Raw genomic sequence first — 13375 nt, 5'->3', positions numbered from 1 at the left:
AGAAAGTGAAAAGGCAACCCACAGAATGGAAGAAAACATTTGCAAATATTTTATGGTCTAATATTCAGAAAATATGAAGAACTCCTACAACTCAACAACAAAAAGACAAACAATCCAGTTAAGAAATGGGCAACAGACCCAAATAGACATCTCTCTAAAGAAGATAAAAATGACAAAGACATTCAACATCATTAATCATTACAGAAATATTAGTCAAACCTCCCACAGAATGCCATTTTATACCACTAGGATGGCTATAAAAAAAAAAAAAGAAAAATCTCAAGTGTTGGCAAAGATGTAGAGAAATTGAAATCCTTGTGCACTGTGGGTGGGAATGAAAAACAGTGCAGTTACTGTGGAAAATAGTTTGGTGGTTCCTCAAAAAGTTAAACATAGAGTTACAATTTGACTCAGCAATTACACTTCTGGGTATATATGCAAAAGAAATGAAAGCAGAACTCAAACAGGTATTTGTACACCCTGCAATATTATTGACAATAGCCAAAAGGTGGAAACAACCGAAATGTCTATCAGACTGATGGATGATAAGCAAAATGTGGTATATACATGTAATGGAATATTATTGTGCCATAACAAGGAAGCAAATTCTGAGACATGCTACAGCATGGATGAGCACTGAAGACATTATGGTAAGTGAAATAACCCAGACATAAAAGAACAGATACTCTATGATTCCACTTCACAGAGACAGAAAATAGATTAGAGGACTGTGCGGGGAACTGGGAGTTACTGCTTAATGGGTTCACAGTTTGTTTAGGGTGTTAAAAATTTTAGAAATAATGGTGATGGTCGTACAACACTGTAAATGTAAATAATGCCACTGATTTATACACTTAAAAATGGTTAAAATGGCAAATTCTACTTTACCTATGATTTATCAACTCCCCAAATGAAAAAAATTTTCTTACAATGCATAAAATTTCTCCATGTGTTTGTAGGGGGAAAATAAGTATTTAAGGGTAGGAAAGCTCCAGAGGGAAACCATGTATCCTCAGCCCAAAACCAGGCTTCTATGTTCCATTACCTAGAAGAAAAAGATAAATGGCCAGCACGCGCACCTAAAGCATCAGGTATAAAATAGGGTTGCAAAGGGAAACAGAGAGGCATGTCCTCACGGAAGAGAGATGGCACACAAAGGGTCAGGTGCAGGCTGAGTATTGTTGGACCTGCCAAGCTCTACCTAGGAAAGTGTGAGGTGTGATTGTGTTGCCATGCTTGACTATATGAAAATCTGGTTGGGACAAGAATTCTTGAATTTAGGTCTGCCCAAAGGGTCTATCTTTGGAGAAGGCATTAGAGGTACTGAATGCCTACTAATCACAAAGCAATGGAGAAGTATTCCACCACTACGGCTGACAGCATCCAAAGATGGCTGCCTTCTCCCTTACAGAGATGGAATTTACTTCCTTTTCCCTTAAATCTGGCCTGGCCCAGTGACTCTGACCAACAGAACAAGGCAGAAGATACATTGTGGTAGGCAGTCTCTAAAATGACCCCCAAAGTTCACCACCTAGGGTATTCACAGACTTGTCTAATCCCTTCCCCCTGAGGGTGAGGTGGACTCATTAACACTCTTCTGAGATTAGGTTATAAAAATACTATGGCTGCCATCTTGAATGAGCTCTCTCTCTCTGATCACTCCCACTGAGAGAGCAAGCTGTCACATCATGTGACAAGCAGCCCTATAAATGGGCCCACGAGGGATGGCGAGGAACCACAGCCCCAAGACCAACAGCTTGTGAGGAACCGATGCCTGCCAAAAAGTGCACAGTGAACTTGGGAGGGGATCCTTCAGCTCCAATGGACTCTTGAGATGATTATGGCCCCAGCTGACACCTTGACTACAGCCTTGTTAGAGATGTTGAGCCAAAGGCACCCAGCTCAGTCACTCTCATATTCCTGATCTACAGAAACCATGAGATAAAAAATGCTTGTTGTTTCAGCCATTAAGTTTTTGGGTAATTTATTACACAATGACAGATAACTAATATAGACATTCTAGGACTTCTAAGACCAGGCCTTTGCTCCTCCCTCTTAGAACCCCAGCTATTGTGCTATTAAAAAGCCCAAGCCACATGGAGCAGACAGGTGGACAAGAACCAAGCTGCTCATATGGACAGCCCCAGTCAGAACTGAAACTTCAGACACACCATCCCAGCCAACTGGCTGCCATTTAAGCCACCCCAGCTGAGGCCCTTGACATCACAGAACAGACAGGAACCATCCCCTCTATGCCCTGCTGAATTTCTGACCCACAGAATCATTAAGGAAATAAGAGGGTTGTTGTTTTAAGTCACTAAACTTTGGGGTGGTATGTTATAATAAATAACCAGAACAAACACTAATTATTAGGATTTGCAGTGAGGCAACAGATCACGCAGGTAGAGATCTGGGGCATGTGGACTGCTTTACTGAACCCCAGCAATTTATTCATGAATGGTGGACAAGTGGACAGTGGTCTGCTTAGGGACTAGAGGATGGGGTGCATAAGGAAATGATCCCATGGCCACAAACTACAATTCTATGTCTAACAGGCACTGTCTTAGAAATGTGAGTTGTTGGTCAGAGACAACAGCTTAAGCCAGGCCAACTAAAGAATAAGAAATTCCTTGCATGTGTTCTGTTGGAATTAGAAATCTCTAAACTAAAAGGCTCCACAAAACTAGTATCTTGGTTGCTGCTAAGGAAGGCAGCACCAATATTTTCCAGCATTATTCAGTAATACCTGTTCACCCAAAGAATAACCTGCCAAATCTCTGCCTCTAACAGATCTAAAATAGAAAAGCTTTATCAAATTGAATGAATTAAGGCAATGTCAAATATTTAGAGAAAAGAACAGTACTATTCATATTCAAGTTACATTGATAAGGAGTCAACATTGCAACAAACTATTAAAACAGACTTTCTGATAGACAGCTGGTAGTGAGTAGCATAGGTTGGGCCACTTTTGGAGAGGGCTTGCTTCCTCAGAAAAAAGCCTGTGAAGTGTCTAATTTTAAATAAAGGTAGTCATTCATCTCAAAGCTTCCAGACCTTTCAGGAATGTTATTAGGAATCACATGATATAACCCTATTCCTCCTAAGCAAAAGCATAAGACCATGATTCCCTATATCCATAAACTAAGAGGAACAAGAATGGGGACAAAAAGTCTACAAATGTGCTGTTGTGTCTACACTGGCAAGGCTGGACTTCAAGATCTCAACATGCACACTCTGAAATGTAAGAGGCTGGACTGCATGGACCTGGGATTAGCAACAGCATTTGCCAAATGCTGTACTTCAAATGCCAATCAGCCACTCCAAATCAGTATCACTAGCTTCTGGCTGGGAAACATCACAAAAAATTCAGTTGCCTCCAAGATCCAAACAGTAGAAACTCATTAGTGGCCTATTCAATAATATTCAAAACATGTGTACTAATTAACATAGTCTGTGATGCCAAGTTAGAGATGGTCTAATGCACTTGATGTGCGGTGTACTACAAACTGGTACCTGATTCACCTTCAAATGAGTAAATGTCAAGTCATGGAATACAGATTCCTGGGAGGAGCTACAAAACAATGCTGCCACAGTGCAGCTACAACAGACACCAATAAGCAAACACCTAGCTAATACATTATCTAGCAAAGTAGTATTCCATATCATCAATTCCAGTCTGATTAATAATGATGTTGAAATTGAATTCCTGTAGTAAAGAAATACTTTATATTGTATCCATTGTCTTTAAGAAGATATTAATAATGATTTTAAAAATACTACTGGAACATGCACCAAAAAAGAAACATATATGATCTTTATTAGAATACCAAAATGGAACAGAGGAATATACAGAACCCAGAAAATGTACATTTAATTAGGGGACATTTAGGGGATAATTTGTCACAAAGATAGTACAAAAGGACAAACACTCTTTCCCTTCCTTTCTGAGAAGCCATAGACTAACACTCGTGTAGGTGCCACAAACTGGTCTGCATTTGGCAGGCTTCCTGTGTCCATTAGCAAATAGATATGCTACAATGAAGAAATGCTTTTCCAGGCATTTTGGTAAGGATTATGAGTCCATTTTCAGACAAACGTAGTTATGAATGTACCCTTCTTTTCAACTAGAGTACAATGCAAGGAATAAAACTATCTTCTCCTGAAACTGAGGGAGATGTGTAGTAGCCTGAGAGACAGGTGAAGGTCGAATAAGTAAATCTCAGCCATTTGTAGTTTAAATGCTTCAACAAAACAACTGCTATTTTCTGCCCACATATGATTTTATTAATCAGTGGTTCTGGCAAACAAGACCATTAACTGCAGTCCTAGAAAGCCATATTGGATTGTATAAGGCGCAGGTACACTTATTTTCTGACCAGGAGGCACTGTGATGTAGTTTTAGGGTCATATAACTAAGACCATCATGATTAAGGATGATTTCATCTCCATAGTGACTCATTTAATCACCCTATATTTAAATTCTTCTCTCCTCTCCCCTTCTCTGGCTTTTTAATAGATTTAAACAAAATGGCTATCAGTCTCTGACTTCAGTGATTTCTGTCATTGACCATTCAGACATTTTCCTTATTCTTCACCATCACTGTGTGATCCATCGGCCTTGTACGATTCTTGGCCAATGGCCATATTAATTTTCTACTTGAAAGGACACAAATAGAATACTGCTTATGATGAAGGTAGTCAGACGAGCTTGGGGAATAGCTGGTCATCTTGCTGCATAGCAATTAGCTTGGCAAACTGAAACAGTCACACGATTGGATCTGATACCTAGCCAAAACTGCCAGAAGAAAAAAACTCATTCTGTTGGGGGTGTTAAATGGCTTTTTAAATAGTGACTATCACAGTTCTATTTGCCCTTTTGGAAATGGTACAGGCAGTGTGACATCAGAGATCTCCGTTTCCACGGTGATTATTAGTGATGGCATTTCAGACGTTGTGGTTAGCTTCTCCAGTATAATTCCTTGCACTTTACATTATAAGAGAGGAGACAGAAAAACTGCTCATGTTAACATTTTTAAAGGAAAGAATGCTGATCACCCAAGTAGATAAACATCGTGGTTTTTAAGTAAACACAATTTGTTAACCTTGAACAGACGTGTGTTGATAGAAGCTATATGGATTAAGCTGGCAAATGATACCACTTGGAATTAATAGGGACTAATTAATTGCTTAGATATTTAGCAGCAATTAGCTGTTATTTCTTGCCTACACATTATTTTATAAACTGGTGGTTCTCATAACACTGATTTGTCCATTTTTATATGTAAAAAAATAATATTTTCTTACTGTGAAGTAATTAATCTTGAGTTATGAACTAATCTGGAGTCTAAGTAGGGAGAAAACTTATCTTCCTCTGCAGTCAAAGACAATCAACGAGGGGAAGGTGGGTGAGTTTCCTATAGCCCAACACGAACGTTCACGCAGGGCAGGGTGACATTTCACACATCTTCTTTTTTCATATGTCTCTTCATTTCATACGTGAGCCCTCAATACACGGTGACTTTGATGCTGATGAAACTGAACATTTCATTTTTAGTTTAATTTTCACATTTAGAGTTGATGGTTCACTTTAAAACACAGTTCACTAAGAAAAAAACAGAATAAACCTAAAGGCCTCTTTTTCAAGAAATTGCTTCATTTGATTTTGATAAATGAGAAAGTTTTCAATTTTCTCATGTAGCCATAAAGGTAGTCATCTTTTTAAAAAGATAATCTGCTATAAAATACACAGTATATACCTATAAACAAAGTCTACTGAAGTAGCACAGATAAAAAACCAATTTGTTTTTAAATACAGAAAAAAGAATACCCAGAGTCTTTCTATAGTGACTCAAATCAGATCTACTGTGTAGTTCATAATATTGTCTAGAGGCTGAATCCAAGATCATAAACCCAAGTTACAGAGAAAATCTGGCAAGATGAAGGGAAGTCATAATGAATCAAAATGCAATTAAAAAATTCTACCTAAATGCATTACTCTTACACAACAGTAACCAAAATGATAAATGATTCTATCTTTCCCTTACTCAAGCTTACTAGTTATGCCAGGACAGAGTATCTAGGCCACCACTGTGTACAACTTATACAAAAGCCTACAGACCTGGAACAAGGATGGATTTACAAACTGAGGACAAGGTCGGAAGAAAAGTAAACACTTAGGTCAAACAGTATCACCAGTTGTGACCTAAGTTAACAGGCATTCACAAAGCATAGGATTAACTACCTATGGGAAACTATCGCCATTTTCATCAGCAAACACCCAACCTACAACGAGACCGAGATCTATTATTGATGAAATTAAAGAGTCTCTTAATATGGCACAGAAAAGGTCCCACCTACAATTTAATTAGGAAAACATAATTGGTCATGCTGAGAACTAAAGAAGATACTAAGGGGTAGAATTCTAGAGTCAGAACTGTAAAAGATAACCACATCCACTTTTTTAAAATACGGAAATAAAGGCCCATGGAGAGTAAGTAAAATTATCCTAGATCACAAGAAGAGCTACTGGCAAAGCAGGAATGGAATCCTGGCCACCCGTCCTCCCCACCCCACTCCCATCCAAATCAGTGCCTCTTCTCAGCTAATCCAATGAGGTAACGCTGACAAAATGCAGCCCACAGACACCAGCACGGTCATAAAGAGATTTTCATTCTAAGGATTAATTTATGGAGAATAACTGCCTATTTACAAAAAACTAAAACACACGCACACACATCACTGTACTCACATCAGAGAAACCAAAGTCAAAATGCAAAAACCGGAAAAACACAACATTAAAAACACCATATAATAATAAGCTCTTCACATCTGCCCTCCTTGAAGTTCTTAATAATGGACTAACTTCTCCGGCATCTGATTCAGAAACTTACACAGAACAGTAATAGATTACTAAATTGGAGAAATAAAAATGCATCATCCAGACAGCAAATGTTCTTGTTCTTTCATTTGAAGGGTGACCAGAGCTTAAGTCAAACAGAAAGTCCAGGCGTACGTAGTTTCCCCTATAGAGAGCAATGGTGGGGCTTCCAGGCAGGGTGACAGGAAGTAATGCTTACGGCATCCTCCCTTCTGAACTCACTAGAGTCCCAAGAAGGCATTCCAGGGCTGTTCCCAGAGAAACCCACTGCCAAAAGAAACCCCTTGTATAGAAATGAAGTAGACCTATCATACCAGCTGACAAGAGAAAGGTTCTTCCCTGTTAATTTGAGCAAGTCTCTTCTTGTTATTTGAGAAACTCTACATGCAGATGATCTGAAATTGAGCTATTATTTAGATTATGATAAAAAGCTAGGGAGATAGATATGGCAGAAAGAGGGCAGATGCTGATTTCCACTTAGAAAATGGAAATCACCCCGCTCATAAAAAGCAGAAACTGAGGCTCTTATGAGCAATTGGATATGACCTCAGGCAAGCCAGGGGTCCTCTCTGCATGCAACAGTGTAAAAAGACACAGATGTCATAAAGGCAGACGAAATGATGTAGAGCAGTGATGGAATATGCATGCTCTTCCATTTTAAATTTGATTAGGTTCCCACAGACACCAGAAAGTCACTTGACTATTATCAGACTCTGGGAGTGTAGCACTGCAAGGATCACAGAGCGTTGTCGTTATCTCAGTGACTGAAAAGAGAATACACTTGGAAGAGAATACTAAAGCCTTCCTTGTGTACAAAGTGTGGTCTGAAGACAGCATGGTATCACCTGGGAGCACAGGCCCCACCCAGGCCCACTGAGACAGAGCCTGCATTTTAACAAGATCTCCAGGTGATTTGTAAGCACACTGAAGTTTCACAAGCACTTTACTAGAACGCTAACAGTGCTCTGACAAAAGGGGCCATGGAAATTTCAGGTGTTATCAACTCTACACAGACACATGTGCAGAGGGCTTCTAAGTCAGTCTGGCCCTTGCCTGGTACTTCTGATCAACCACAGGTTAAACAGTTGAGAAGTAAACCTTTTTTAATTACAGGTAACAGTACCAATCAAGTGAGCCTTATTTAGTTACCTCTTTGTGCGATGAAAGATAACAGAAAAAAAAATAAATAAATAAAGCTAGACATGTGAAAAAAAAAAAAAAAGCTTTAGGAATCTGTCTGGATAATGCCAAAAACCTCAACCACACTAAATGATTATAAGTGAGCCTGAGTCATTACATTTTCATAATTATAATCATTAAAACCCAAGCATGGGTATTGATTTACTGATTGGCAACAACTTATTTTTTTTTAAAAAACCTCATTTCAACTTTCATTTTCAGAAGAGATGATTTTCTCAGAAGGCGTATTTTAGCTTTAGGAATGTAGTAGTCTAATGGGAAAACAAACATGCTGGATGAAAAATAACCTACATTTTGATCATGGCTCTCACCCTGTTAGCTTCTTATGGGAACAGCGATTTCTGTAAGGATACACTATGGAACAGCAGATGTGAAAGGGGTCTACGTCATTTTTTGCTCCACTCACACATGCTGTACTGAATTTTCCTTTTCATGCCCACTTCCCCAGTGACCTGCTGTCCTAGATAAGGAATGGGGAAGCTCCTGATGGGGTTCAGAACACACTACCGCAAAAGACGGTGTCTTGGCATACTGAGTATCTTAAGGTGAAGGAATCAGAAAATGGCAGATGCAGGAAGGACCCTTAGACCTTCCCCTTCCTTCTCCCCTGACGCAGGTCATGAGATGTTCATGAGGAAGGTGTCCTCACACCACCTGGAGCAAACAAACATCTTCATCTCTGAAGGCAGAGGGGCACCTTGAGGGATCTAAATGAACAGGCCTTGCTAAACATTCCCGTTTATCACCCTTAGCTCTTACTCCTGTGTCCTGTCTTATTTTTTCATGACTTTGCACTCGTATAAAAACACTCAGGTTCAGCCATTTCTTTGGGTCTTTATTTCCTTATAAAGGCTTTCCTGTTCCATAAAATTTATATGCAATAAATGTGTATGCTTTTCCCCTGTTAATCTGCCTTTGTCAGTTTAATTTTCGGACCCAGCCAGGGACCCTAAGAGGGCTGGGGAAAACTTTTTTACTCCCAAACAGGGGAAAGCTGTTCCCCAGGATTGAAGTTACTGAGAACAAAATTGAAAGAGCAAGAATTTGGCCTTTAAACAGCTCGTACTGGCAACTGAGGTTCTATTTTAATTTCTGAACAATAGTGATAATCTCCACAACAGTGAGAAACACTCATGTTTTTCTCCTGTCCATATCATCAAATTCCATTTCCTCAGATACAGTAACTGGGCACAGCACAAAGAGGAGGCGACCATGCTGACCAGTGTGACAGAGAGTGCAGAAGAGGGCATATGGGTCACAGGTCCTGACTCTCAGAGGGCTCGGAAATCTCTATTCCACTAAACTGCTTTTGTGAATTTTGTTTGAGCACAAGTCCTTCGCCAGTCAGCTCAGCTCAATTTTGAACGTAATAACCATCAACAGGGGCAAGAGGGTACCAACATAGTTTTCACTGTGGTGCCAAGTTCAAAATGGGAAGGAATCATGAACTTCGCCCTCCCCCAGTTACCTGATATCACAGCGATTTTCCCAGACCCATGTTCTTCTCTAGCTATTCTTTCTGCTTCCTCCATCAGCAGCATGCCAAATCCCTGCACGGAGCAACAATGGGGAGTGGGAATTAAAAAGGAAGGAAGTTCATTAAGAGGGGTCCATAAAACAAGAAGGCTATATACTTTAGTAGTTGCTAAAATCTGTTAAGAGTGAAAAAGCCCACTTATGGGAGTAAGGAAAAAGAAACCATTCAATCCTACCAAAGGTACACTGTAGCAGACAACTGAAAAAGGTGTAACTTTTGAACAAGAACTACCAAAAGGTATGTTGTGGATGATGTAATCTATTCACAGGAAGACAGTAATTCCCTCTCAAATTCAGTCTCTTTTTAGGTGGGTTCTAGGCAATCTCTAAATGATGGAAGTCTGGGGCAGTATGTCTTTAATTTCTTAGTCACCTCTCTACTTTTTTTTTTTTTTTTTTTCTCTTGAGACGGAATCTCCCTCTGTTGTCCAGGCTGGATGGAGTGCAGTGGCTCACTGCATTGGGCGAGATCACTCTGGCTCAATCTCGGCTCACTGCAACCTCCGCCTCCCAGGCTCAAGTGATTCTCCTATCTCAGCCTCCTGAGTAGCTGTGACTACAGGCACGTGCCGCCACGCCCAGCTAATTTTTGTACTTTTAGTAGAGACAGGGTTTCACCAGGTTGGCCAGGCTGGTCTTGAACTCCTGACCTCAGGTGATCCCCCTGCCTCAGCCTCCCAAAGGGCTGGAATTACAGGCGTGAGCCACCACTCCCGGCCACCTCTCTACTTTCTAAGAGTTGAGAAACCAGGCAAAATTCTTAAATAATCAATTTTGGCTCGTATATCATATCCGCCATTAGGTTTTAACACATTTTCTGGAAATTTTTAAAAGTGAGCTATTAAGGTAGGTTGTCTGGGGTTAGAATAGGGTTCCCCTATGTATAATATGGCTTAACCTTAGGAAGTGTTTCATAAGTGCTTTCCCATTACTGTCTAACCTGACTCCACAATAAGTTGACCCATATGAGATTGCCAGTATTAGACGATTTCTTACTTTCAAAAATACTAACTGCAGGCCAGGCACAGTAGCTCATGCCTGTAATCTCAGCACTTTGGGAGGCCAAGGTGGGTGGATCATCTGAGGTCAGGAGTTCGAGACTAGCCTGGCCAACATGGTGAAACCCCATCTCTACTAAAAATACAAAAATTAGTCAGGCATGGTGGTGCACACCTGTAATCCCAGCTACTAGGGAGGCTGAGGCAGGAGAATCACTTGAACCAGGGAGGCGGAGGTTGCAGTGAGCCAAGATCACGCCACTGCACTCTGGCCTGGGTGACAAAGTGAGGCTCTGTCTCAAAAAAAACCAATTCCATGTGGTTCAATCTGTTATGTTCCAACTGACTGAATCTCAGTTTATCCTTTCCTCCCAAAAGGATACAATTTGGAGAGAAAACATCTCTGAACAACTAAAACACTGGCTCCTCTGTTTCTATGCTTCTCTTTCCCCTCTCCTGCTCCTCTGCCTCTTCCTCTTCTCTTCACCCCATTCCTTTTCTCTTTTCCTACTTAGGCAGTTTCTTAGAAGTCAAATAGAAATGGAATACAGGATACCTGATGCTGAAATTTAGTAGGATCCCGGCTGCTCACAGGGACCACACTCCCATACACATGCAGCTCTCGTACTATGGAGACACCTCCACCCAATTCGAAACGGAAAGTTTCTTCTGAACACTTGCGTAATCGTAGGAGGCCAATCAAAATGTCTTGATCTGGGTCTTCGTATGACAAGAATGTTTCCCAGCCACCATTTGCAACATAATCTCTCCTTACCAATTCAACCTATTTAGTAAAAAGCCACAAAAAATATTATTCAAAATTAAAGAACCAAATTCATTTTTGTAATTGTATGTATTTATTTAGGTTAATATCTAGTTAGGGATAAGGAATGAATAATCACTAATTATGTTTCTTTTTACTTGTCTACTCTCAAATAGCACCAAGATTAAAGTTCACACCTTGTTCATGGACTATTATAAAAGGAAAATAACTGTATAATTTCACAAATACTTGAACTTCATTAACCTTGAGACTCTTACAGAGATCCAGCTCAGTAAAGGCTTCCATGCATTTGACTCCCCATGAAGAGTCTCTTAATGTAAAATTTCAAAATCACGTCTCATGCGTAGCTCTCAGGAGCACCCCTTTGTCTCAAAACTGTCAGGTGTTCAATGGTTTGGGTTTCATCTTCTAGTCCTTATCGCCTCCACTGAAACCTATCTTTGGGGAAGAAAAATGTGATGCTGGTCACCTGCACCTTGACGAAATTTCAAGGAAGTGTGGCCTCCCACAGGGCACTTAAATATTATGCATAATTATGGGATAAAAATGTTAGAGAAAGTTCAGTCATGGAGGGTAGCTTCTGGGGGGAAGCTTTGTGGTAGCAGTCTGCACAGGCTTTTGGCTCTTCAGCTCATTGTACAAATGGCTCTTGTACTTTTCTTAAATAGAAGCCATATGTAACAATATTGCACGCACAGAGAAAAGTATACATATGGACATGGCCACACGCAGAAACACTCGGTAGATGGGGAGATGGTACCCAGAGCAAGGTGAACAATTCAGACTAACACATATTCCTTCTCAACAATGTTTGCTAAATAACTGAACAGCACAAGAATCTGGCAAATTGTGTTGGGTCTACTTTTTCTCTCAAAAGGTCCTAAATGTGAAAAATGTCAATTAACTGATTCATGCTGAGAACAGAAATATCAATGCAGAGATCATCTATTCCAGCCTTTCTCAAATGGGGTTCCACAAGAGAATCAAATCCTACAGAAAATCTGGCATACAGCTAGACATTATAAGAGTATAAGAGAAAAGTTAATTCATTACATACCATGAATGCCTTAAGGCATTATGCTTAATTTTTGTGGAGCCTGTGGGTAAGGGCTGATCTATTCATTTGCTTATCACCATTGGGCCAACAGCTGAATAGTTACACATAAAGAGAGAAGCAGATCATACTATGCTCTTCCCAAATGTAGCTCGTAGTCACAGGGGACTATTTACAATTGAATTTATTTTAAATTAAAAATTTAGTTCCTCATTTGTACAAGCCATATTGCAAGTGCTCAACAGTCACCACCATATTGGATATTGGATAGCTCAGATCACAGAACATTTCCAACACTGCAGAAAGTTCCACTGGACAGTGCTAATCTAGAATGAGGTTCAGACTTCGTTTTCCTAACCTGGCTCTTCTAGAATTCTTGTATTTGGCTTTCACGGTTTGACACCGGTATCTAATCCTCGATTAGTCTCTGCTCTTAGTTATTCACTCCTGGGGCTCTGTCCTTGGTTAAGAATATGTGGGCCCAGGGTTGGCAAAGATCTAAGGACAGTACCTAGGCCCTCTATGACATGAAGAGACTAACCTGGTATGGCCGTACTTTGTGATGAATTTCTTGGATTCCAACTTCTCTGGTTCTCACATCTCGACACTGTCAAAAAAAAATGGCGTGAGCGGGGTTGGGGGGTGGGAGGGGTACAAATATAAAACTGGTAACCAATTCAATCTTTATTTTTATTTAAACCTCTCCACCAAACCCTGGGCTCAAAATTAAGTTTGCATATAACTTGCAGTGAGATAAAAGAGCTGAATTTCAAAATAAAACCACCTTTAATGAATCTGAGGATGGGGAAACCAGAGTAGGAATGTATGAAGTAGTACAGTAGTGCTTTTAAAATAAATTTAGAATTCGAAAAAGATCAATATATAATATAATCTTAGCAGTAAAGAATGTAAGTCATAAAAGTAAG

At 40.0% G+C, this 13375-nt stretch overlaps 1 protein-coding gene across 7 annotated transcripts in view; it reads right to left on the bottom strand.

The window, feature by feature from the left end:
* ELP3 (elongator acetyltransferase complex subunit 3) overlaps nt 1-13375 on the bottom strand; it is a 100922-nt gene that overhangs the window by 19530 nt on the left and 68017 nt on the right. For all 7 annotated transcript variants that reach the window (XM_024447184.2, NM_001284222.2, NM_018091.6 and 4 more), the window contains 3 exons: nt 12991-13056; nt 11168-11395; nt 9546-9627 (listed from right to left, as the gene is read on the bottom strand). In XM_024447184.2, the coding sequence (XP_024302952.1) occupies nt 9546-9627; nt 11168-11395; nt 12991-13056 (376 nt within the window). The remainder of the gene's footprint in view (nt 1-9545; nt 9628-11167; nt 11396-12990; nt 13057-13375) is intronic.

The sequence above is a fragment of the Homo sapiens genome, chromosome 8 (genome assembly GCF_000001405.40).
Source record: "Homo sapiens chromosome 8, GRCh38.p14 Primary Assembly".
Taxonomy (NCBI): Eukaryota; Metazoa; Chordata; class Mammalia; order Primates; family Hominidae; genus Homo; species Homo sapiens.
The sequence above is the reverse complement of the archived record's forward strand: the minus strand, read 5'-3'. Positions and strand labels throughout refer to the sequence as shown.